This window comes from Homo sapiens, chromosome 14, assembly GCF_000001405.40.
Source record: "Homo sapiens chromosome 14, GRCh38.p14 Primary Assembly".
NCBI lineage: Eukaryota > Metazoa > Chordata > Mammalia > Primates > Hominidae > Homo > Homo sapiens.
In genome coordinates this window covers 106,096,906-106,124,475 of record NC_000014.9, presented here as the reverse complement: position 1 = coordinate 106,124,475, position 27,570 = coordinate 106,096,906, and the positions used below count along the sequence as shown (strand labels likewise).

Sequence of the window (27,570 nt, the reverse complement as noted above, 5' to 3'; positions counted from 1 at the left end):
GCATGCACTTCCCAAGTCTCCACTTGTATTCTGTTTGCCTCAGATCGCTAAGTGAAAAAAAGCCATAAACCTAGGCCTAGTGTGTGTGTAGGAGGCACTTTTTATAGGCTAGAAAATAGTAAGAAAGGAGAATATGTGTTATTGGAATAGCATATACAAAGGTGTCTTTATTCTGAATTTATCTGTACCTGCAGATATTCTCAGGTGCAACATTCAACTGCAAGAGCCCAGCGAAGAAACTAGGCACTCCCCAAATCCTTCAAGTTTTTGTGTTCATTGTGTGTCCACTGACTCAGGAAATGTGAAGCTTCAGAAAAGGGGGTCCCTTCTGTGTCACAGAATCTTGTCTGTGGGTCTCCCTCTGTAGGTTTAGTAAGGCTAATCAATTGTTAAAAGACATGGTGTCAGCAGCATGTGGTGTCACTGATGGAGAATTCTAAACCAGGACACAGCCACTTCATGCTGGGCTAGAGACTCTGAAGGAAAATATTTGTGAGCCCCGACAGAAACCTCATTGCAAGGCAAGAGCTTCTGTGGAAGGGGGCACTTGGGAGCCACCAAGCGCAGGTTCCAGCCCTGGAGCAGGTGCACAGCTGGGGAGGAGGTTTCCTCTCAGTGCCTGGGTTTTCGTTTGTCAGGAAAAAACAATCTAAAATAACTGTTCAAAAAGTCGCTGATGTGCTTTAAATATTCTATCACATCAAAACCATTCATATAACTTAAGGCACTGGGAACTATTTTTTAAAGTGGGTTTCTAGAACTATAATATCTTAATAGTGAGAATATGAAGGATAGGCATGTTTTTACTAATTCTATGGGTACAGATTAGTTGAAGAAACTACATTCCTATGAATAAGAAATTCAGATTTCAGTGTTAAGTAATGTTGCTTACATTGTGTGAGTGACAGGGCAGTGGTGGATCTGAGAGTGTGGCAGGTGCACAGACCAAGTGAGTCAGAAATCAATATGGAAAGGTGAGGGTCTGTGGATATGAACTGAAAGTATGTAAATACTTGACAAAATACTAATAAATGGAGTTCAAAATAACCCAAAATTGTTCTAAACACAAATTCCTTGACAATTACTTTGGGAGTAGAGAGTTCATAATGGACTCCAAACTCCTGCTTTATCTTCTGATTCCCATTGTCTGTGAGATGAGAAAATCAGCTCTAATTATGCATCACAGGGCAAATCTGTAAATCAAGAGTGTTCAATAGAATTGAAGACCCTGGGGGATCAGGACATGAGGCAGGTGCTGGAGACAGTGTCTCAGGAGCACCCAGTAGATCTCAGAGGTCCCTCCTGGACACTCATGTGGGACATAAGCATCACTTTCTCAGAGTCACCAATGAGCTGTGCTGGTGGCTGATGGGTCCAGGAAAAGACCAAGGCACCTGCTCAGTGTGATGGAGAGTGATGGTTCCAAAAATGATCCAGGTGGTCTCTATGCTAATCAAATGTAGGCTCACAGTGAGGAGCCTGTTCTATATGGGCTTATTCTTCAGTGAAAGGACGTCTGTCCACAAATGTTTGTAAATGGAGCAGGGCATGCATTTCCTCAAGCAGGATTAGGGCTTCGACCGTCTGCATCTCACTCTTGTTAGGCTGATGTGTCATTTATCTTCCCTTTCTTATCATGGATTGGGCTTTGAGCTAAGAAAGGCTTTGTCTTATGAATATGCAAATATACTGATATCCACTGAGGTAAATATGTTCTGTGCCCTGAGAGAATCACCTGAGAGAATCCCCTGAGAGCACATCTCCTCATGGGCTGGACCTGCAAGATCCTCTTCTTGGTGGCAGCAGCCACAGGTAAGCAGTTCCCAGGTCCAAGTAATGAGGAGGGGATTGAGTCCAGTCAAGGGGGCTTTCATCCACTCCTGTGTCCTCCCCACAGGTGCCCACTCCCAGGTGCAGCTGGTGCAATCTGGGGCTGAGGTGAAGAAGCCTGGGGCCTCAGTGAAGGTCTCCTGCAAGGCTTCTGGATACACCTTCACCTACTGCTACTTGCACTGGGTATGACAGGCCCCTGGACAAGGGCTTGAATGGACAGGATTTTAGTTATTTGAGAGATTTTTCATACAACATTTATTCTGTAAGCAAATTTCAGGGATTGTAGAATGAATCATATTAACAAATCTGACACAGAACTTCCTCTGAATCAATCTTTGTAAACATCAATTTCTGAATCAATGTTGTAAATATTTCAGAACACAAGCACAAATTCACATTTTAACTCTACTTTTATCTCTATTTAAAAAATATCAAAAAATCTCATTTTGTGCATGTAACGTTTTGAATGCCCACCATCAATGCATGACATTTCTTGTTTTTCCACATTCATGTTACCATTTATCATCATGAGAATTGTGAGTTTTAGCCATGCTGATAGGTGAGTAATGGCATCTAATTTTTATTTAAATGCACATGTCCCAAATAAAAAATTCGTATTAAACAATTTTTATATAATTTTTGCTGGGATGCCTTTCCTGATATGTGGTTCATTTTTATCTGCATTGTTTTCTTTTCATTAGTTGTAAGTTTACTTGCATATTGATTATAAAAGTCACTTAACAAATCCAAAGAATTGATTTAACAAATAGATGACTTGGAAGTATTTTCTCCCAGTCTGTGGTTGTCTTTTTCTCTCTTATCAGTGGGTATTTCAAAAAATATATGTGTGTCTGTGTGTCTGTGTGTGTGTGTGTGCACAGATTTAGACAAAAAACATAAAAAATTATTCATTCATAGATCATGTATTTGGCATTATATCTGAAGTCTCATTATAAAATACACTAATAGTGATTATTTATTCCATGTTGCTAATCTCAGGCCACAATCAACTCATGAGTGCTTAGCCTTCACCTATTGATTGGAGGACTATCCACCTGAGATATTTGGAATACTTCCATGAGGAGATGTGTTCTTCTTCCCATCATTTCTTTATTTAATCATCTATTAACATCCGTATTGGTTTATGGACATCTATTTCATACTCTGAAGAAGATCCATGCTACATTATTCATTTTCTTGTTCAAATCTCCACAGCTTTATTAGGTGCTGGGACCTCATTTAGTTTGGATCCTGCATCCTTACAGCAAAGCTCATCCTTTTGTTTTTGAACACTTCCCTGTTTCCTGATATTACGATAGATTCTAAGCTTGTTTCTTTATCACCTTTTTCATACATAGAATTAGCCATTTATATAAAGATTGCTTGTTTCTGATTTTAAAGAGTAGTGTTAAAATAAAATATTGTGATAATGGGTATGTGTGTTGTTAATGTGGTATAAGTACTTCTGGGACCTCTCAACCTTCTGTTCTAGCAAATGTGCATGTTTATATGAATCATGTCATGTCCATATATCCAATGTTGAACTATGTTGCGAAAAGTGATCTCAAGATAATGGTAATTATCAACCCCCTCCCTAACAAGGTGTAGATCTGCATTTTTTTTTCATTGTAACTCAACTTTGCCTCATGGTCAGGAACAGTGGTTTCCAGCTCTAAATGTACTGATTACAGCGAGATGTCCGTTTTCCCTGGAAATGTATTTTTAAGTTCTTACTGGATGTATTTGTTGATAATGTTTTCTACTATGAAGATACCTGAACAGTGTCCGCACTAGAGAGTAAGAAAGAGTAATGGGCAGATTAACCCTGTGCATCCAGACCCAGGAATCCTCTGATCCTGCCCTCCCTGAAACGGAGACACAGAGGATGGATGAGCAATGCTGAGCGGTGCACCCAAGACCACAAAAAGAAAGACATGGAAATATGTCCCCTCCCCTCCTCAAGAAAGGCAGCTCATCCCCTGTTCCCTCAGGCCCGGGCGAGGAGCCACCCCATGTCTCTTCCCTTCCTCAGTGTCCACACTGTGGGGTCTGCACTGATCTGGGCTTCCCTTCTCATCACCCTCGTATTAGTGGCCCTTGTGAATCAGGTCCAGCTGTGGCTGCTGCTCATGGGGCTGCTCTCAGTCTGCTCTCTCTGTGTTTGCAGAAGTCCTGTGTGAAGTTTACTGATGGAGTCAGAGGGAGAAAGATTGTACAGCCCAGCGGTTCACTCAGCCACTCCTGCAAAGACTCTGGATCACCTTCACTGATTGCAGCATAAGCTTGGTCCAGCAGGCTCCAGGACCAGAGTTGGCGTGGGCAGCAACAGGGAGAAATTCAAGAGGAAGTTCTTACATGCACCCTTACGTGCACGGTCTCACTGAGATCTTTACTTCCTTTATCACGTTTGTTCTGTAAATCACAACGAATGGTGCATTCTTCATCTATTATACACTTGTTAAGTCTTTTTTTGGCATCTTTTAAAAAACTGGTAACTTTATCCTGTGTAATATCCCTGTTAAGTCCTAAAAGTCTTTTTTGATGTCTATTTTTTCTTAACTTTACACAGCTACTATAGATTTATTTTGGTTCATATTTTTGTAATCCATGTTTTCTCATCTTTAGTTTTTACATTTGTGAATACGTACAGTAATTTTCTAATACATAGCTTCTAGTTGGGGCTTGCTTTTTAAAATCAACTATAATAAGCTCTATTTTTAAACTAATATTATTTTTCTGTTATATTGTTTAAATTAGCATTTCACAATGATGTTTATTTCTCTACTAACATATAATCTAATTCACTTTTATAAATATTATATTGGTTACCATAAGTTTTACAATAAGAATTGTATATAATTAGATTCTATAAGAATTGTATATAATTGGATTCTAATGCAGATACTGTGATGGCCTTGATATGAAGAACAGAGACAGTGTAACTGTGTGCTTTGAATTCCTCCTTCTCACTGCTCTTTCTTGTTTATTCCCAGTTTGCACTTACATATACTATAAAACATAATATATAAATTTTTTATTCCTTTCATAGTTATATAATATAGCAATTACAAAGATAAAAACTGCACTTCATCTTGATTTTCCCATTTTGTACAGTCTTAATTTCTTCGTATAGATTTATGTTTTGAATGTATATCACACGGCTACTAGCAGAGAAAGTTTGTTAAAATGTGCACTGAAGCATGAATGTGCTGACAATAAATTGTCTCAAGATCTTTTTGTAATGACAGAATTTTATTTGCCTTTCACTTTTAATGAAAATGTAATGCACGTAGAATTCCAGTTTGCATTTCACTTGTAATTTATTTTCTTGTGTTTATTATTTTGTTCATGGAGATGATCACACATTACATTCTGCTGGGCCTTTATTAACCACATTTCTATGAACCTAGTCAGGGTTGGGTTTCAAGTGTATGGTTGCCACGGCTATCAGAGTTGAAGTCAGCTTCTCCTGTTCACAAAAAGTTCAGGTTCCTCCAGTGATACCCACTTTTGTGTCCCGGTTTGGCTCTTCCCATTTCTTTCTCCCCAGAGAGAGCCTGTCTCTTTCATCTGTGGCAGGTGCATCCTGCTGACACTTTTACTTGGTGATTGTTTGTGGGGTGAAGGGGCTTGGACACAGGGGGATGTTCTCCAACCTTCTGACCAAGCATCCTTCTTAGCTATGGGTGGTGAGAGTGGCTCTGAAGCATGGTCTTCCAAGCGTTCCTGTTCCTTCCCTTCCCCAAGTCAGAGTGTCTCTTTCTAGCCACAGTGGTCTTCCATCAGTGTCCTCAGCTTCTGACCCACTGTCCTTACTCCACAGACTCAGGGTTTCATTCCTCAGGAAAGAGACGGGAGGTGTTTCTGGGTAGAGTCTCCTTGGTGTCCTCTGTTTCCTTCTGTTCTAGTTGATTCTACCAGTGCCTGAAGGACACAAGATTTAATAAATGTCTCCCACATATCGTGAAGAGGGATTCAGCATTGAACGGAGCTACTGTTCTTCCTCCCCAGTCAACACCACAGGACAGCAGGTGGCTGAGTTGTCTGGGGATTTCCCCAATTCTGTAGGAAAAGCCCGCAAGTGCCAGTAGTTTCACACTCTCACAGCGTTAGCACACACATCCTCAACAACTCATGAAACATTTCCAGGTTAGCTTTTTCCTATCTTCAATACCATACAATGAGTGGCACCTGCCCCAGGTACTCTAATAAATGGACCTAGTTTTCTCTGCAGGCTCCCCATTTTCTCAGATTTCAGGGTTTTTTTCTCTGCAACATCAACTCAGATATGTTGAAGGGTTCATTTTTTGTAGTTCTTCAAATTTCTTGTTAATGAGGTCAGAAGAAGATCATTTTCTCATTTTTTTTTTTACATTCCCGTGCTTAGTATCTGCTTTCTAAATAAAATTCGGAAACTAAGACAAAATATCAAATATCCACTATTTGGTGCATTGTTAAACTATTTGAGAAATATTCATGTACTGAAATACAATGAACAATTGAAATCAAGGCATGCCTCAGTCACATAAGAATGTGAGGACATTATCAAATAATTGTGCTGAGTGAAGGAAGCTAAAGAATTCACAGTAAATCTCCTGTGATTTCTTTTGTATAAATTGTAGAAAATGCAACTATTCTAAATTAACATGGAGAAGATCTGAATTTTTCTGAGAAAAGTGTGGTGAGGTAACAAGATGGTGAAATAAAATTACAGAGAAGTGAGAGAAAAAAATTTGGAGGTTAATTTAATTGCTAATAGCACGATTGAAGTGCTGATTCAAAGGCTGCACACATATACCAACATTTTCCATATCGTACACTATAAATTTGAATTCACTATTGATTGAATTTTTGAATAAAGCAGTAACAAAAATGAGTATATTGGCTGAGGAAGAGCAAGAAAGAGATGAATATTGACACTTGAATAATCACGGACTCCTGAAAATACACACATGTGAACACTGATTGCATATTTCAGGTAAATACTAGAAAAAGCAAAGTCACATAAAGTCGTTATGACAGGTGGGATACCCTGCAAATCACACTAGGCATGTCCCACACTGCCCTGGAGCTGTCTCAGGGGAGCAGTCTCCTCCAGTGTTTAGAGGCACAGGCACGGATAATAGGGCTGACGCTGTCCAGATGTGTGATATTGGACACATTGCACAACTGCTCTGTTATGTATGTAATTCATCTTCTCTAAAAATGTAACATTGACACTTGCACTGAATATATTCTGCAAATATGTAAACATTAAATAAGATGATGACTGCTAATTGATCATCAAGTCACAATCACATAATCTGAAGTTATATTTTCCTGAGAGATAGGATTACCTCCAGTGTTTTCCGGGACCCTCTCATCTGCTCTGGGCACTGCCCTCTCCTCCAGCGTCCCACTAGAGCTTGCTATATAGTAGGAGACATGCAAATAGGGCCCTCCCTCTGCTGATAAAAACCAGCCGAGCCCAGACCCTGCAGCTCTGGGAGAAGAGCCCCAGCCCCAGAATTCCCAGGAGTTTCCATTCGGTGATCAGCACTGAACACAGAGGACTCACCATGGAGTTTGGGCTGAGCTGGGTTTTCCTTGTTGCTATTATAAAAGGTGATTTATGGAGAACTAGAGACATTGAGTGGACGTGAGTGAGATAAGCAGTGAATATATGTGGCAGTTTCTGACCAGGTTGTCTCTGTGTTTGCAGGTGTCCAGTGTCAGGTGCAGCTGGTGGAGTCTGGGGGAGGCTTGGTCAAGCCTGGAGGGTCCCTGAGACTCTCCTGTGCAGCCTCTGGATTCACCTTCAGTGACTACTACATGAGCTGGATCCGCCAGGCTCCAGGGAAGGGGCTGGAGTGGGTTTCATACATTAGTAGTAGTAGTAGTTACACAAACTACGCAGACTCTGTGAAGGGCCGATTCACCATCTCCAGAGACAACGCCAAGAACTCACTGTATCTGCAAATGAACAGCCTGAGAGCCGAGGACACGGCTGTGTATTACTGTGCGAGAGACACAGTGAGGGGAGGTCAGTGTGAGCCCAGACACAAACCTCCCTGCAGGGGTCCCCAGGACCACCAGGGGGCGCCCGGGACACTGTGCACGGGGCTGTCTCCAGGGCAGGTGCAGGTGCTGCTGAGGGCTGGCTTCCTGTCATGGCCTGGGGCTGCCTCATTGTCAAATTTCCCCAGGAACTTCTCCAGATTTACAATTCTGTACTAACATTTGATGTCTCTAAATGCAATACTTTTTTTGTCCTTTTTGTTTCTTTGTTTTTTTGCAACAGGAGTACATATCCTCAGCTCCACAGAAGCCAGGGTGTCACTTTGGGGGCAGAAATAATCCTTTCATGGTTACCAGGATAAGAGTCCTGAGGAATCCCAGGGAAACCTGGAGAGTGTTTTCCAGTTAGACTCAGGGCAGAGACCTCCATGGGAATCTCTGATTAGAACAGGCCTTGAGCTCTGACGGGAGCCAAGAGAGAGGCTCGCCCAGGGTCAGAGTCCTTAAAACCTGATGGTTTTCACAGCTATCCCCCCTCGTCTTGTAAACTCAGACTGATTCAGTTGACCCTCTTTCTGCTAATCCATTTCCTTCTCTGTAGGTTTGATTCTCACAGTTCGCTTTCTTCTTCTCTTCCCTGAAAACAGACGATGTGTTTTCTGTAGTCAAAATCCCAGGGCTCAGGTCTGCAGGACCTGGGTAGGCTACGGGGACTTTCTCACTCACCATTGTCCGGACACTCTTGTCTTCTGTGCATGGAGGCATTTGGAAAATGAAGTGGACATTAGCCATGAAGGGAATAATACTAGTTTTCTCCAATAGGATATTGATGTAGAGCTGATCTTGTGCTTCTCACACTGTCTCAGAGTTTGGACTCTCACCTGTGACTTTGAGAAGAGCTGGGGATGGGCACTCCATTGTGCTGTGAGCTCTGGGTAACGATAATTGTAGAATCTGCCTAGGCAGTCTAAGGTCAATACTACTCGTCATCAGGAAAGACAGCTGGAATTCCTGGGAAGATCTGCATCTGCCGTCCACCATGGAGTCCCATCGTCTTCTGTTATGCTCTCTTTGAATCAGTCCCACCTAGATTATCTAGAACACTCTTCCTGACTTAGGAAAAATAATGGCAGGCTCCACTAACACCTGTGTTATGCCATGGGAGCAACACCTAAGCTAGTGTGTGAATGAGTAGATGAGACTGTGGTCTAGTCAAGGTGACAGGTAAAATTGATTGTTGCCATTATGATATTTTATTTTATATTTGGCAATATAGTCATGCTCCTATTATAAATATTCTTTGAGACGGAGTCTTGCTCTGTTGCCAGCCTGGAGAGTGCAGCAGCACGATCTCGGCTCACTGCAACCTCTTCCACCTCCCAGGTTCAAGCAGTTCTCCTGCCTCAGCCTCCCGAGAAACTGGGATTACAGGTGCACGCCACCATGCCTGGCTAATTTTTGTATTTTTAGTATCGACAGGGTTTCACCATGTGGGCCAGTGTGGTCTCGATTTCCTGACCTCGTGATCTGCACACCTCGGCCTCCCAAAGTGCTGGGATTACAGGCATGAGCCACCACACCTGGCCTAGTTTTATTAATGTCTGCCCATACCAGCAACTACATACCTATGGGGACATTAATTTACATCTGCAGACATATGTGTAAATACACAAGCCTATACATACATGTGTAGCCATTTATATTTAACATTATAATAAAATAATTCTAAAATATTTTCTAAAGAATTAAACTTAATGATGAGCTAAATATAAATTAGAGTAATCTATAATTGATTTCGATCATTCTCTATAGTTTGCATAAATGGATGTCTATTTCTAAGCCTTAACATAGTGTATTCGTCATTTTAAAATAGTCAAGAAAAAATTACAAATGTTCTTGTCACAAAAAAAGATAAGGATTTGATGATTTGAGGTAATATATATGTCAATTAACTCGATTCAATTATTCCGTATTGCATTCACAAACCATAACATACCTTTGTGCCCCATAAATATATACAACCAAAATTTCTCAATTTTCAATGAAATTTTAATTATATATTTTTAAATCTGATGCCTCTCCTTGGATTAAGCCACCTCCTCAGGCTTACAGGGCTCTTCCATTTTCTCAACATGTTGTTATACCAGATGAGCACAAACACATTAATTTCATTATGCTTAGCTTTAATTTTTCAAAACAACATAAAGGTGATAATTTTACCAATAGACGTATTACAACCTACTGTGCATGAGACCCTTTCTGTGCTTCAAGGTTTCTTCTCAGGACTTTATATGTATTGCAAATTTTCATTTTTTTCTGATATGGAATGCTGATTTCTCTTTATTATAGATTATCAGTTTATTTTTCAAATTTATCTCTTAAAATTAATTTTTTCAAAGTCCCACTCAAACCAGGGTATTATTAGAACTTTGACGTGTAATAGTTGGACCAACTTTGAGAATACATTCAATTTAGTTCACGTGCTCTCAAGCATCTTTTCTTCTTTAAAAGTTGTTGTCAGTTGTAATATCACACAAAATATTAGTAATTTATGCTAATGACAGGTTAAAATGCTGTATAAATAATTAAATTACATTTGATTGGAAAAAAGGAATAGATGTTCCTCATATCTTGACTTTTTTTCTTCTCTATGAGATGCATGCTTATTAATTATTAAGTTTAAGACGTTACCCTTGTCTTTTTGATTTCTGGGATTTAATTTTAGTACATATACTTGAATGCATTGTATTAATTCATATAATAATGTTCATATTTTGGATAGGGTTTTAATATTAATTTTATTATTACTGAATTTTAAACTATTCTACACTTTTTTTGTTTTTATGAGATAAAATTTACATATAAGAAAATATGCATAGATCTGGAATGTATCACTAGAGAGTTTCTGGCAAATGTGAATACCCTTGTTGTCCCCAGCACCTAAGGTAGCTGAAGAGCAAGTCCATTCCCACATCGCGGGTCTTTCCCTGTGCCTGAGGTCAGCTCCTGCATGGGGAAATGTTTTGATTTCTCACACTACAGATCCATTTTTTTCTGTTTTGAACTTTATATAAATGGAATCAAACATTATAGACCTTTTTTTGGAAAGGAGCTTTGCTATTTTTGAGATTAATTCATGCTATTTAATGTGTAAAATTAGATCAACATATTGTCATTTATTTAATTCATGGACTGACTCTGATATGAAACCTCAAAGTTTTCATGTATATATGGAGACAGGGAGAGGAAGGAGAAAGATTTTATATCTGAGTCAGTCCATTAAGTAAATAAATGAGAATATTTTGATTTATTTTCTTGTCGATGTACTTTAAATTTGTTTCCATTTTATGAATATTATAGGCAAAGCTGTTACAAATATATTAGTGTAGGTTTTCCTATGTTGTCTCATTTTTATTGAGAAAATATGAAGTATGTATTTCTTTATTTTTTTATTTTTGATTATTATTTATTTATATTTTAAATTTTACTTTAAGTTCTGGGATACATGTGCTGAACGTGCAGGTTTGTTACATAAGTATACATGTGCCGTGGCGGTTTGCTGCACATATCAACCAGTCATCTATGTTTGAAGCGCCTCAGGCATTAGGTATTTGTCCTAATGCTCTCCCTCCCCCTTCCTCCCACCCCTGATGCATCCTAGTGTGTGACGTTCCCCTCCCTGTGTCCATGTGTTCTCATTGTTCAACTCCCACTTTTGAGTGAAAACATGCGGTGTTTGGTTTTCTGTTCCTGTGTTAGTTTGTTGAGGATGATGATTTCCAGCTTCATCCATGTCCCTGCAAAGGACATGACATCATTCTTTTTTGTGGCTGCATAGAATTCCATGGTGTATATATGCCACATTTTCTTTATCCAGTCTATCATTGATGGTTATCACATGGTTATCACATTCTTTGGTTTTCATTTAGGAGCATATGTCTTGAGTAGAAATTTGGTCCTTTCCACACACTAAGCCTCACCTTCCTCAGAGGAAGAGCAGAGATTCATCCAACTTTGTCTGAGGTGGGAGCTGCTTCTCCACACCTTGGAGCTTGCAGAGACCCCTAAGTGCAGCTTCATTGAGTCAGGTGTGTCTCCATGTGGGGGACTTCTGCTGCCAGTGATTGCTGCTCAGTTCTAATTGTGGGTTCGGAATTAGGACACTTAGGTTATCACGCCTCAAAAATTACCATCATTATAGAGAAAAATAATAATACAATGCTAATCATTGTCACTTATTACTTATTATTATTGGAGTATAAGTTTGGAGAGACAAAATTGTTACCATATATTTGCATAAATGTAATGTCAGAATCTCCTGAATGGGTCTTGAACACTTACAAACTGGATAGAAGCAGATTCTTATTTTTTTTCTATACTGGTGTATTTTGGGATGTCAACATTTTGTCCAGAATCTGTGAGTACCAATAACTGTGTGTTTCAAGACTCTTCTTGGGTTCTGAGACAAGAAATGCCATTACTACCTGAAGGATTGAGACAACTTTGAACAATGTCAGAGCAATCATCTCTAATTGCTTCTAAACTTCAGTTTTATCAATTCTTATGCTCTCTGAATTATTTCTGATTTTAGCTATTAAAGGATTCTCTCTTTTTCTCTTAGTTAATTGAGCTAAGAATTTGTCTATTTTTTTAGAAAAAATCTCTTTGATTTGTTGATTTTTCTATTGCTTGTAAAGTCCATTTTTCACTTACTTATTTCATTTACTCTAAAGCCTCATAAACACATTGGTGACATGTAGATAGAGAATTTGATCGTAAATGCCATGTTTTTGTTAGACTCAGCTGATCATGTCAGGAAGCCCCCTGAGGGTTCTAGGAACTGACTGTGGCTCCCACCACTGGACAAGGATGAGAACCTCCATGCTTTGGGGATGGGAGGACATGCAGGGCAGTGTGAGGGGAGGAGGGTTGCTGGCAGGTCCAGCATTGCTTCCCCTGGCTGCACCACTCATGTCCTTCCTCACTCAGAGATTCAGTCATTTCTTCCCAGGTGGAAAAATCAGTTAACTTTATCTTTGATATATGGATGGGAGCCCAAGATAGAGGCTTGTCAGTCATTATTTCTGTGCCTGCTGCCTTGGGAATGTCTGAATTTCTTATGCTCTGTCCTGGGTCTATACCCCAGTGGCTCCCCTACTCCATGGCACCCACCTGTGCCTGTGCATGGCCCCTGATCACAGCCTCCGTGAAACATCTGGTTTGGCTCAGGAAGAACCCCCCTTGCCTTGTTTTCCTGCTGTCCCTGGTCCACATCCTTCTCCATCCACAGGCTCTCAGTGGTGCCTCCCATCCACACTGACCCTACATGGGGTCATACCTTGTCCACCACTTCCTCTCTCTTTTCTTCTGAGCCTTGCCTTTGATTCCAACAGCCTGTTTCCATCTCACCTGGACTTGTGTACAGGATGGGGTTTACCGAGCAGGCTTGGGTTGTGGAAACCCTGAACATTACTGAAAAAGTGCTTTCTCAAGCCAGGTCCATATTCAGCTCCTGGGAGATGATATCTGTTTTTTGGGCATAGACCTCCCGGTAGTATTTTTAAACCACTTTATTAAAGTAAGGTTTATATATGTAAAAGTATAGATTATTTAACATACTTAATTCATTGAGTTTGAAGTATACATCTGCAAAGCTGTCACCACAATCAAGGTCATACCCATAGCACTCACTTCCAAAACATTCCTCTTATCTCTATTACTATTATTATTAGCTAAAATGTATTTTTGTTTGTGTTTGTCTGTGTCTCTCTGTGTGTAGCCTGGGTGCACACTATACTAGGTGTTTTCATAATGACTTATGGTGAATGCCTATTATTGCTCAAGAGGCCGGCGTCTGAGCACTGGAGGTCAGTTGTACAGGTGCCACACACATCTGTGATGGGCCCCAATAAACAGCACTGGGCACCAGCACTCAGGTGAGCTTCCCTGGTGGACAATGCTTCACACATGTTGTCATGCATCACTGCTGGGAGAACTGGGGACAAGAGACTCCCCAGGGAAAGAACATCTGAGAGCTTGTTCCTGGATTCTCAGGGCCTTCCCCTTGCTGCCTTTGTTCATTTTAATTCATATTCATTTGCAATAATAAAGCTGCACCCATGAGAATAACAGCTCGTCTTGAGTCCTTTACTTCTATTATGTGGCCTGAGGATGGTCTTGGGATGCTCAACACAATTACATCAGAGGTGGAAATTGCTAGAAAGACCCTGACTACTGACACATGGCTAGAGCATTGTTTATAGTATCAAAGGATGAGAAAGTGTGGGATAAAAGACATTCAATACCTGGATGTCTGCAGAATCACATGGCAGGAGATGGCGTGTGTGCTCCAGTAAAGAGGAGGAAGTGAAAGTAATCAATGGAATTTGGAAATGGCAGACACAGCTCCCTAGGAGTTGTTCCCTGAATAACAAAAAGTAAAAATAATGAGGAACAACCCAAATATTCAAGTCATATCTGTGATAGCTAAAATAATAGTAAAAAGATGCACATCCAGCCTTGCACTGTGCCCTATGAGCTGAGGCTACTAGACTCCCATTCACCACCAAAGGGGACAGTTGTCCAGAAACAACACACAATACACAACAGCCACACAGAAGGTAGCCCAGGGGCTGGGCTGGGGCAGAGAATCCACTAGACAACTAGAACAAGGAGGACAGTGTGGAAAGTGGCATCATTCTGTGATATGATTGATATCATTAACTGATATCATCGGATTGTGAACAATATTAGCCAATGGACTATGAGAGTGACTGATGTAGCAGCTTGTCTTTGGCTTCATGTGCTGCAGAAAGGAGGAGTATGTTTGGGAGGATGCTGGACCCACAGCTCACAACAGACACATCACAGATGGCTCTAGCTGATTGCAACCTCAAATAAGATGTTCCTGATGGGTCAGCTTTCCTGGTGCACTGGATTCCAGATTGTGTAAAATTTCTCTACCCTGAGAATGAGACTGCCCTTCCTCTCTTTGAAATGCAAAGTGGGCTCTCCAGATAGGGAGGCTAATGCTGCACACGGAAGCCCTGCTGCTGTGTGTTTATGTTGATGCTGACAGTCACTGCTTAGCATGCACCTTACCCAGGTCATAGCCTGTGCTGTGTGTTTATGTTGATGCTGACAGTCATTGCATAGCATGCAAATTACCTAGGTCATAGCCTGTGTTGTGTGTTTATGTTGATGGTAATGGTCATTGCTTAGCATGCACCTTACCCAGGTCATAGCCTGTGCTGTGATAAAGAGAAGTCATTTTGCTTCTGCACCCCAGGTATACAATTCCTGTGGGTAATCTGGCAAATATTTTAGAAACTGTGTAGTTTCTGTTGCCTTGGCTTTTCATTTGGATCTTTTAGATGTTAAGGAAATGAGAGTGGTTCACAGGAAAATGGGGCAAATACAGGGGACAGTAAAAAGCCCCCTCCGAGCAATGTGGATATCATAAAATAAAAAAAATAAGAATAAAAGAACTAAACAGATTGTGCTGGGGTGGAATTAAAACAGCACTACCAGGAGTTGGGTGCAGCAATGGGGATCCCTTCAGGTCCATCAGCAATACAGAGACCTAAACAAATATTTCCTATTTAGGTTGAATTGGCAGAGTGTAAAATCTAGAAGATGAAATGGCCAGGAAACATTTGTCCTTGATTTTGCATGGGTGAAGGTCTGGCAGGTTAATCAAATTGAGGGTTGTTAAAGGCCTGGGGTGGTCCTGCCCTTTCTGGGTGCCCAGGCCATAGTCACATTCATGGGAAATTGCCATGGAATAAAGAGTAGTTTTTTGTGGTAGTTCTTGTTATCAGGCATAAGTGCATTTGAATTTTCTGTTCACGGCCTTTCCTGGCTCTATTTCTCATTTTTTTAACAGACATGATTTTATCTAGATTTGTCAACTTTCACAGGGTCACAGAGAAGGGTGGAAGGAGGGATGCCCTGGTTTGGGTCTTGCAGGACCACAGACAAGAGTGGGGAGGGGCAAGAAGAGGTTGTAAGGAATTATTGAGACCTATTCTGCCCCTCCCAGGAGGCTCAGTTCAGCCTTTTCTCTGCAACTGAGGTTCTGGGTTATAAACCCTGTAGACTCTTCCCTTCAGGTCAGGGCGGCAACTATGCAAATGCAAGTGGGGGCCTCTCCACTTAAACCCAGGGCTCCCCTCCACAGTGAGTCTCCTTCACCACCCAGCTGGGATCTCAGGGCTTCCTTTTCTGTCCTCCTCCAGGATGGGGTCAACCGCCATCCTCGCCCTCCTCCTGGCTGTTCTCCAAGGTCAGTCCTGCCGAGGGCTTGAGGTCACAGAGGAGAACGGGTGGAAAGCAACTCCTGATTCAAATTTTGTGTCTTCCATACAGGAGTCTGTGCCGAAGTGCAGCTGGTGCAGTCCGGAGCAGAGGTGAAAAAGCCCGGGGAGTCTCTGAGGATCTCCTGTAAGGGTTCTGGATACAGCTTTACCAGCTACTGGATCAGCTGGGTGCGCCAGATGCCCGGGAAAGGCCTGGAGTGGATGGGGAGGATTGATCCTAGTGACTCTTATACCAACTACAGCCCGTCCTTCCAAGGCCACGTCACCATCTCAGCTGACAAGTCCATCAGCACTGCCTACCTGCAGTGGAGCAGCCTGAAGGCCTCGGACACCGCCATGTATTACTGTGCGAGACACACAGTGAGAGAAACCAGCACTGAGCCCGTCTAAAACCCTCCACAGCACAGGTGCAGAGGAAGCTGCCAGAGACACACTCCCCAGGGGCCTCTCTATTCATCCAGGGAGGAAACACTGGCTGTGTCCTGAGGAGTGAGAACCAGAGAACAACGTGGGAGGGTTCCCAGTCCCTAAGGCAACTAGATGGGGCACCTGCTCCTGGGAGGTGGATTCTCTGAGGGGGCTCTTGTTCTACAAGGTTGTTCATGGTGTATATTACATGGTTAAAATAAAAAAGCTGTCTAATATGCACCTCTTAAGCATGACAGTCTTTTAATTAGTGAAAAGTCTACACAGTTAATCATTGCTGGCATGCTTTCCTCCCTCCTATCTTCTCTTGCTCCCTACATCTATTATTTTCTACTTAATTTTTCAAAATCATTTGATCCCTTTGTGAACTATTACTAGGTTCTGTTGTTTTTGTTGTTGTTTTCCTTTCAATAATATGTACTGAATAATTCATCTTTGTGCCAATTCATAAGTTCTTGGGTATAATAAATACTTCTCTCATAAAAATTAGATAAATTAAAATAAATAAATTTTAAAAAACATACAACCTATCAAAACTGAACCATTAAGAAATAAAAAATCTGGGCTGGTTGTGGTGGGTCATGCCTGTAATCCCAGCAGTTTTGGAGGCTGAAGCAGGTAGATCAGGAGTTCTATGTGAATCTGTGGTCAGGAGTTCAAGATCAGCCTGGCCGACATGGTGACACCAAGTCTCTACTAAAAATATAAAAATTAGCTGGGTGTGGTTGTGTTCACCTGTAGTCCCAGCCACTCGGGATGCTGAGGCAGGAGAATGGCTTGAACCTGAGAGGCAGAGGTTGCAGTAAGCTGAAATTGAGCCACTGCACTCCAGACTGGGAAACAGAGTGAGACTCCATCTCAACAACAACAACAAAAAAATCTGAACAGACCAATGAGTAAAGAGATTGAGTCAGTGATTTTTCAAACATCTCAAATCAAAGAAAAGTCAAAAATTTCATGGCTCCACTACTGAATTTTATCAAAAATTAAAACAAAATAACTAGAATCACTACTCAAATTTCCAACAAAATAAAGAGGAAGAAATACATTCAAACTTATTTTGGAAGGCCCTATTTCCAAAGCAAGGGAAAGACACTACAAGTAAATGAAACTACAGGCTAATATCCCTGATTATCATAGTTTCAAAAACTCTCAAGAGTGATGACAAACAAAATTCAACAGCACATTGACAGTATAATTCACTATGGTCAGGTGTGGTTTATCTCTAGGATGCAATGAAGTTTCAACCTGCAGAAATAAATGTGATATATCAAATGAAAATATTGAAGGACTAAAACCATATGCACCATATGTCCATGTCAATAGATGCAGAAAGAGCCTCTGACAAAATCCACCACACTCTCATTATAAAAAATCTGAACATATTATGCATAAAAGATATACAGCTCAACATAATAAACACCACATATCAGAAGTGCACATCTAACATTATCCTCAATGATGAAAATTTTATTTTCCTCTAAGACTAGAAACTAGACAAGATGCTCACTATCACCAATATTATTAAACACAGCACTGGGTGGTCTAGACAAAATAGGCCAGAAGAAAAAAATAGAAGTCATCCATATAGTAATGAATAAATTTTAAATATATGTTTTACATATTATATGCTCTTCTTTATGCAAAGCCCTAAAGACTCCACCAAAAAAGGCTGGATGTAATGAAGAGATTCAATAAAGTTGCAGAATACAAAATCAAACTTACATTTCAAGATGGCAGGTTAGAGGCATTGCTAGTATACCTCTTCCTCTTGGAAGGACAAACTGATATGGAGAGATGAACATTGTGGATTTATTTTCAAGAAGCAATGCAGGAACTGAACAAAAACACTGAAATAATCTACAAACTTTCCGAAAAAAGCAGGAAGCTGCAGCCTACACTGTGAGTCAGGTGAAGGGCTGCGAGTCCCCAGAGTTTGAGGGAAGAGTTTGCCTCTGGGATACACATCCACACCTGGGATCCTGAAAGTCCAGGCCAAAGGAGAAGGCCCCAACCTCACCCAGTGCAAGGACCCACTGTGCAGGGTTGTGGAATATAAAAGTAGGAACAGCAGGAAGACCCTTGCATAAACTCTCAGATCTCAGTGCGGTCTGAGAGCTGCCATTTCTTAAGGTTCTTCACAGAGGACCCTGGGAAGAACTGCCAAAAATTTCAGGCAGGGGTCACAGGTTGAAAGAAGCTCTCAACAGGGGTGTGTGATATAACCTAGAGGGGACGAACTCCCTTGGCCAGAGTCTGACAAGTGAAGAGTGAAAAGTGGGCTGCAAGTTCAGGAGCCATGGGTGCAGGAGCTGGTGCCTGGCTTTGCAGCAGACAGGAAGGAGCATGGCATGAAACCCATGGCTGCAGTCTCTATGGGGACAGCTTATAACTCCTGGCATTTGCAGATATTGATCACAGGCTGACTGGAACTCATCTCACTGCTGCCAATGGAACACCACAGGAGTGGCTCTGCCTCACCAAGTGTGTGGGAACTGTATGGGGCTTACCGTCACCTGGCTCTCACCACTCCCTGCACAAACTTCTATGCAGCAGAAGCAGATGTGCTGACCTCTGGAACATCAACCCAGTGGCCTGAGAACCACCCCTGTCCCCCACACCCACAGGGGCTGCTGCTTGCCCTGCACACAGAGACTCAGAGCAGAAACCCACCTGACCTAGCCCTCACCTTGCTTTGTGCAGCCACCTGCCCTGGCAATTTAACACAAAGGACAGCATCTTTTGGGAGCTACATAGCCACACCCACTGCCTGAGAATCCATAGTAGCCCCCATTCCTGGGCAACATAAGGCTTGCAAAAATCCCACTGCTAATAATGCAGCTGGTGCTCTTTCACAAACACCACCTCTTAGCTGGAGGCCAACCAACCATGCATTACAGTATCTCCTGGTAGAGTAACACTGCATCCCAGAAGGAGAAAATGACTGTGCGATCTCAGCTGTCACCATGGTCTGCACCACTCTGGATGAACGGGGGTCCCGAGTCTGTCCATGTGACCAGTTCATCACTACTGTAACCAGCATTCAAGAAAGCCAGCATAAGAAGGCCATCAATATCCAAGGAATTTCACAGAGTCTCCTTCACTCCCCTGCCACTCCCATCAGACCCGGTTCTGCTGCTCACTGTTGAAAAATGTGAGGACAGTTCACATCACCGGATCACTTACAGATATTTGCCAACACCAGCTTATAGACAGCCTTTCTGGAATACATCATGGTGACTGCATTCCTCAGAAGGCGCACTCTCCACGTTCTGGCTTGCAAGAGACACAGAGTCACAATTCCCCTCTATTCGGCACATCAACATTTGTACAGATGAAAAGACATGCCTGTCTTATCTGAATAGCTGGAATACTGTCTGAAAAGTGGATAGATTTCCTACTGATCTGGCAAGAGAGCTGAGGTTGCTCCAACCCTTCCCCGTGATAAGACCTCAGTGTGACTCACTAAAAGCTCCTCCAGCCACCCCTGTCAAGGCTGGGACTTAATTTACCCACCTGTTTTAGCCACAACTGCTTTCTACCCAGGGACAAGTCCCCCATTGGTCTGAAGCCTGAACCAACAAACAAGTAAACAAATCACTGGGGAAAAGCAAATAAACACGGGCATGCCACAGATGAATGAGATAAGATTTAAGAGACCTCAACCATTATAACCCCATAGAAGACAATGAACTTGCTCACACACTGAGTTGATTTCTACTGCAACCACCACATAGGAAAGCGATCACGCAAAGACTCTGTATAACCAGGGAGCTCCTACAGAGTCTTCATTCCCCTAAGGACCAAAAATCAAATCAGGCTGTAATTAATTATAAGCATAAAAAATCTCATTCTTAAGGGAAAAATACATTTAAAAACAAACAAACAGTCAAATCAAACTAGAAAATCTACCAAAACAAGAAGAAATGAGAAAAATAACTTGGGAAATATGAGAAAACAGGGTGGTATAACAGCGCAAAAAGGTCACACTACCTCTCCAGCAATAAACCTTAACCAAAATGAAGTCTTTAAAATACCAGAAAGGAAAATCAGAATGTTGATTAATAAGCTACTCAAGAAGATATCAAAAAAGGTGAAAATCATCATAAATAAATTTATATAAGCAGTTCAGAATATAAATATAAATTTTTATAGAGAGATAGATATCCTAAAGAGAAACCAATCAGAACTTCTGAAAATAAAAAAAAAAATGCAGAGAATTAGTAAGGGAACTACAAAATGCCATGAAAAGTTTTAAAAATAGACTAGAAAAAAAGTAAAATATTAGGAGAAAAAGAAAAAGGAAACAGTAGAAGAAAAAAAGAAGAAAAAAGTAGAAAGACTAGACTATTTTTGAAATAACCCAATCAGATAAAAATAAATATAAAAAGAGCCAAAAGAAGTGAGCAAAGTCTCCAGGAAATATGGGATTATGTAAAACAAATAAACCTAAGAATAATTGATGTTGCTGAAGAAGAAAAAAATAATAATAAGTTTGGAAAACTTCTTTGATGGAATAATTGAGAACTACTCCCCTGGGCTGACTAAAGACCTAGATGTCCAAATCCAAGAAGTTCAAGGAACTCCTGGAAAACTCATTGCAAAAATACCTTCACCAACCATACAGTCATTAGGCTACCTAAAGTCTACATGAAGGAAATAATCTAAGAGCAGTAAAACAAGACAAAACAAAACAAAGAAATCCATCAGACTAATGGCAGACTTCTCAGCAGAAACTTCACAAGCCAGACAGATTAAGGTTCTATCTTCAAACTCCTTAAACAGAACAACTTTCAACCAAGAATTTTTTTTTATCCTGTCAAACAGTTTTATAAATAAAAAAAGAAATAGTCATTTTCAGAAAAAAAAATGCTGAGCAAATTCGTCACTAGCAAACCAGCACTACAAGAAATGCTAAAAGGAGTCCTAAACCTTGAAACAAAAGCCCAATACGCACAAAAAATGGAACCTCTTAAAAATTAAAAACTCACAGGGCCCATTAAACAATGACACAATATAAAAGAAAACAAAAACTAGGTAACAATTAACATGACAAAGAAAATAGTAACTCATATCTAAATATTCACATTGAATGTAAATGGCCTAAATGCTCCACAAAAAAAATATGCAACTGCGTACTAGATTTAAAAAGTCACAATGGAAATACCTGATGTCTTTAAGAGACTTACCTAACACGCAAAGATTTATGTAAACTCAAGGTAAAATGGTGGCAAAAGGATTTCAACAAAAATAGAAACCAAGACTGAGCAGGAATAACTATTCTGATATCAGACAAAATGGACTTCAAAGCAACAACAATAAAAAAAAAGACATAGATGATCACTATACAATGATAAAAGGATCAATTCAACAAAAAATTACAATTATACATTTATATGCACCAAACACCGGCGGAACTAGATTCATGAAATAAGTACTACTAGACCTCAAAAACTGAGTTAGATAGCAAATCAATCATAGTGGGAGACTTCTATACAATAATGACAGCAATAGAGAGATCTTCGGGACAGAAAGTCAAGAGATAAACAATGTCCTTAAATGACTCACTGGAAGAAATGGATGCAGCAGATATTTACAGAACACTCTATCCAAGATCTGCAGAATATACATTCTTCTAATCAGCACACGCAACATTCTCCAAGGTAGAGCATGTAATAGGCCACAAAACAAGTCTTAATAAAATTTAAAACAATGAAATCATATCAAGTATCTTCTTAGACCATAGCAGAATAAAACTAAAAATCAACTTTCTAAAGAACTTTCAAAACTGAACAAATACATAGAAATGAAGAAATCTGCTTCTGAATAATATCTAGGTTAACAATGACATCAAGAAGAAAATTTAAAAATTATCTTAATTAAATGATAATAATGAGACAAGTTATTGAAACTTCAAAAATAAAGCAAAAACAGTGATAAGAGGAAAGTTTATAGTCCCAACTGCCTACATCAAAAAGTCTGAAACAGCATGTCACAACTCAAGAAAGTGGAGAAACAAGAGCAAACCAAACCTGGAGGCAGAAGAAGAAAAGAAAGAACAAAGATGAGAGCAGAACTAAATGAAATTCAAACAAAAAAATACAAAAAAATTCAATGAAATAAAAGCTGGTTATTTGAAAAAATAAACAAATTCATGGATCATCAGCTAGATTAACCAAGAAAAGAAGAGCAAAGATACAAATAAGCTCAATTAGAAGTGAAACGGACATTACAATCTACATAACTAATATAAAAAATAATTTAGAACCACCAAGTACATGTTCATGTACACAATGTAGAAGACTTAGAGGAAATGGTCAAATTTCTAGAAATCTACAAGTCTCATAGATTAAATCAATAAGAAATAGTTACTTTGAATATATAAATAACAAAGAGTGAGATTGTATCAGTAATTCGAGAATTGCCAACAATAAAAACAACAACAAATAGGGCCAGGTGAATTCACAGTTGAATGTTATCAAAAATTTACAGAAGAATTGCTACCAATTTTGCTGAAACAATTTTTTTAATTTAGAAAAAAAGAATCCTCCCTAAATTATTCCATGAAGCTAGTATAACCAAGATACCAAAACCAGGAAAACACACATACACACACACACACACACTCTCTCTCTCTCTACAGATGAATTTCCCTGATAAATATAGATGCAAAAATACACAAAAAATAATAGCTATCTGAGTTCAACAGCACATCAAAAATACAATTCCTCATGATCAAGCGGGTTTCATCTCAGAAATGCACAATTATTTGAACATACACAAGTCAATAAATGTAGTACATCACATAAACAGAATTGCAAACAAAAACCTTATGATTGTCTCAATAGATGTAGAAAAAGCATTGAACAAAATTCAGCATTTTTCATGATAAAAACCTCTAAATAAACGAGGCATAGAAGAAACCTGACTCAAACTAATAAAAGTTACATATGAAAAACCCACAGCCAACGTCATACTGAATGCAAAAAAGTTAAAAGCATTTCCCCTGAGAACACAAACAATACAAGGATGCCCACGTTCACCAATTTTATTCAACATAGTTCTGGAAGTTCTAGCCAGAGCAATTAGTCAGGAGAAAAAAAAGTATCCAAATTAAAAAAGAGAAAGTCAAACTATCACTGTTTACAGATCAAGTGATTATATCCTTAGAAAATCCTAGACTCCTCCTAAATAGTGTTAGTTTTAGTAAATGAATTCAGCTAATTCTCAGGTTACAAAATAAATGTACACAAATTAGTAGCACCACTGTACATTAACAACAACAAAGCTGAGAATTCAACCAAGAACTCCATCCAGTTTACAGAAGCTGTAAAAACATAGAATATTTAGCAATATACTTAACTAAAAGGGTAAAAGATCTCTACAAGGAGAACTACAAAACACTGCTGAAAGAAATCATAGATGACACAAACAAATGGAAATGCATCCCCTGATCATGGATTGGAAGAATTAGTATTGTGAAAATGACCATACTGCCCAAAGCAATCTACAGATTCAAAGCAATTCTTAGGAAAATACCCACATTACTTTCTACAGAATTAAAAAACAATAATGCTAAAATTTATATAAAACCAGAAAAAAAGCCCAAATAGCCAAAGAAATCCTAATAAGATAAAAAATTGGAGCCATCACATTACTGAACTTCAAATTATACCACAAGGCTGCAGTTACCAAAACAACATGGTACTGATATAAATGTAGGCTTATAGACCACTGGAACAAAATAGAGAACCCAGAAATAAAGCCACATATGTAAAGCCAACTGTTGTTTTGCAAAACATACCAAAATATGAATTGGAAAATATACACTGCATTTAATAAATGGTACAGGGAAAACTAGCAAGCCACATGGAAAAGAATAAAACTGGATTTCTATCTGTCACCATATAAAAGACCAACTCAAGATGAATCAAATTCTTAAATATAAGACATGAAACTCTAAAAGTTCTAGAAAACAATATTAGAAATCACTTTTACACATCAGGGTAGGTAAAGAACTTATAAATAAGACCCCAAAAGCAAACGCAACAAAAACAAAAATAAATTTATGGAACCTATTTAAACGAAAGTGTTTCTGCACAGCACAAATAATAGTCAACAGAGTAAAAAGACAACTCACAGAACGGGAGAAATTATGTGCAAACTTCACATCTGACAGAAGATTAGTATCCAGAATCTACAAAATATTAAAACAAGTCGCCAAGAAAAAAACAAATAATCCCATTCAAAAGAGGACAAGGGACATAAATAGATAGTTCTCAGAAGAAGATATACAAATGGCCAACAAACATATAAAAAACTGTGTAGCATCACTAATGATCAGGAAAATACAAATTAAAACCACAATCTAATAACACCTAATCCTGCAAGAATGGCCACTATAAAAAGTCAAAAAACAAAAGGGAATGCTTATACACCGCTGGTGAAAATGTAATTTAGTATAACCACTGTGGAAAACACTGTTGAGATTTCCTGAAAAGCAAAAAAGTAGATCTACTGTTTTGTTTTGTTTTTTCTTTTTTAAGATGGAGTCTCGCTCAGTCACACGGGCTGGAGTGCAGTGGCGCAATCTCGGCTCACTGCCACCTCCGCCTCCCAGGTTCAAGAGATTCACCCGCCTCAGCCTCCCAAGTAATTGGGATTACAGGCACCCACCATCATGCCTGGCTATTTTTTTTTTTTTTTTTTTGTATTTTTGTAGCGATGGGGTTTCACCATGTTGGCCAAGCTGGTCTATAACTCCTGACCTCAGGTGATCCTTCCCCCTCGGCCCCCTAAAGTGCGGAAATCACAGGTGTGAACCACTGTGCCCGGCCAGATCTACTGTTTGATCCAGCAATCTCAGTACTCTTTATTTCAAAGGAAATAAAGTCATTATATGAAAAAGATGTGTACATGTATGTTTATAGCAGCAGAATTTAACATTGAAAAGATGTTGAACCAATTTAAGTGCCTATTGACTAATGAGTTCATAAAGAAAATGTGACATCGCCTGTAATCCCAGCACTTTGGGAGGCTGAGGAGGGCGGATCACAAGGTCAGGAGATCGAGACAATCCTGGCCAACATGGTGAAACTCCATCTCTGCTGAAAATACAAAAAGTTAGCAGGGCATGGTGGCGCACGCCCGTAGTCCCGGCTACTAAGGAGGCTGAGCCAGGATAATTGCTTGAACCTGGGAGGCAGAGGCTGCAGTGAGCCGAGATCAGGCCACTGCACTCCAGCCTGGGTGACAGAGGAAGACACTGTCTCAAAAAAAAGAAAAAGAAAAGAAAATGTGACATACTTACACCATGGAATACTAATAAACCATTAAAGGGAATGACATAATGTCTTTTGCAACAACTTTGATGAAGCTTGAGGCAACTATTATAAGTGAAGTTACAGCAGAGTGGAAAAGTAAAAACTCTATGTTCTCACTTATAAGTGGGAGCTGGGCTATGAACTTGCACAGACATACAGCGTGATATAAGGGACTTTAGAGACTTAGAAGGGAAATAATAGGAGGGACACTAGAGAGAAAATAAATGCACTTTAGGTACAGTGTACACTATTCAGGTGACGAGTGTACTAAAATCTCAGAATTTATTGCTATGTAATTCATCCATCTAACAAAAAAAATCTTTACCCCTAAAGCTATTGAAATTAAACAAAAGTCAACCTACAAAAATAAGTATCTTCCGTATACACTAAAAAATGATTATTCAAAATTAAAATCAAGAAAATAAATCTAAATACAACAGCTTAAAATTCATAAAATAAATTTTACCAAAATAAATTTAACAAGGATACAAAACATCTGCACATTAAAAATTATAATATATTGATTAAAATGGAAGAAAACACAAATAAATGGAAGGCTATCTTGTGTTCTTGTGTTACTGGAACATACATTGTTAATATGTCCACCCTAACCTAAGCATTTACAGATTCAATGCAATCCCATTCAAAATTTCAAAGACATTCATTCACATAAATTGAAAAAAAAATTCTCTAATTTGTATTTCTGGGGTGACTGACCCTGACTATCAAGTTGAAATCAGACTACTACTCCACAATGGAGGTAAGAAACAGTATGTCTGGAATACAGGAGATTTCTTAGGGCATCTCTTAGTATTACTTTACCATGGGATTAAGGTCAATGGGAAACTACAACAACCTAATTCAGGCAGGAACACAAATGGCCCAGGTACTTCAGAAATAAAAGTTTGGGTCACTCAACCAGGTAAAAAAAACCTGACTAGCCAAGGTACTTATTGAAGGCAAAAAAAAAAAAAAAAATACAGAATGCGTGCTAGAAGAAGGTAGTTATCAATACCAGGAACAAGCATGCTACCAGAAGTGAGGACTCTAATTGTTATGAGTATTTCCTCCTTATCTTGTTAAGAATATATTTCTGCATGTATATAACTGTGCTAAGAAAATATCTTCACCGTGGCGGATGTGGTGGCTCATACCTGTAATCCCAGCACTTTGGAAGGCCAAGGTGGGTGGATCACCTGAAGTCTGGAGTTCGAGACCAGCTTGACCAGTATGATGAAACCCTGTCTCTACCAAAAATACAAAAATTAGCTGGGCGTGCTGGCAGGTGCCTTTAGTCCCAGCTTCTTGGGAGGCTGAAACAGGAGAATAGCTTGAACCCTTAACCCAAGAGGCAGAGGTTGCAGTGAACCGAGATCATGCCACTGCACTCCAGCCTGGATGACAGACTGAGACTCCGTCTCAAAAACAAACAAACGAACAAAAATATATTCATTGTTTTCATTGAATTTGTTTTCTTTTTATCATGTATCATAAGATTTATTGATTTCATATCAGCATTTAAATGTTGTTAAACGGATGTAGTGGCATTTAGGTTAAGGATTAGTGCACTTTCAGTTGTATGAAGGATAGCTGTATTATGTTAGGCATAATTATGACCTTATTATTGTCTTTATTTGGAGATCAAGCATGATTGCAGCTAGATGTGTAGGGGT

General features: G+C 39.6%; 2 pseudogenes, 2 gene segments (V, D, J or C) and 1 further gene; all 5 read left to right on the top strand.

The window, feature by feature from the left end:
• IGH (immunoglobulin heavy locus) overlaps window positions 1-27,570 on the top strand; it is a 1,293,408-nt gene that overhangs the window by 755,369 nt on the left and 510,469 nt on the right.
• Window positions 1,767-2,056, top strand: IGHV1-12 (immunoglobulin heavy variable 1-12 (pseudogene); annotated as a pseudogene). The gene is given in 2 exon segments: window positions 1,767-1,812; window positions 1,898-2,056. Coding segments are annotated over 2 exon segments (205 nt in total).
• On the top strand, window positions 4,001-4,187 carry IGHVIII-11-1 (immunoglobulin heavy variable (III)-11-1 (pseudogene); annotated as a pseudogene). Its single transcript is given in 1 exon segment — window positions 4,001-4,187. A coding segment is annotated over 1 exon segment (187 nt).
• IGHV3-11 (immunoglobulin heavy variable 3-11) lies at window positions 7,392-7,841 on the top strand. The segment is given in 2 exon segments: window positions 7,392-7,437; window positions 7,535-7,841. Coding segments are annotated over 2 exon segments (353 nt in total), but the record flags the coding sequence as incomplete, so codon positions are not given.
• IGHV5-10-1 (immunoglobulin heavy variable 5-10-1) lies at window positions 15,963-16,504 on the top strand. The segment is given in 2 exon segments: window positions 15,963-16,012; window positions 16,198-16,504. Coding segments are annotated over 2 exon segments (357 nt in total), but the record flags the coding sequence as incomplete, so codon positions are not given.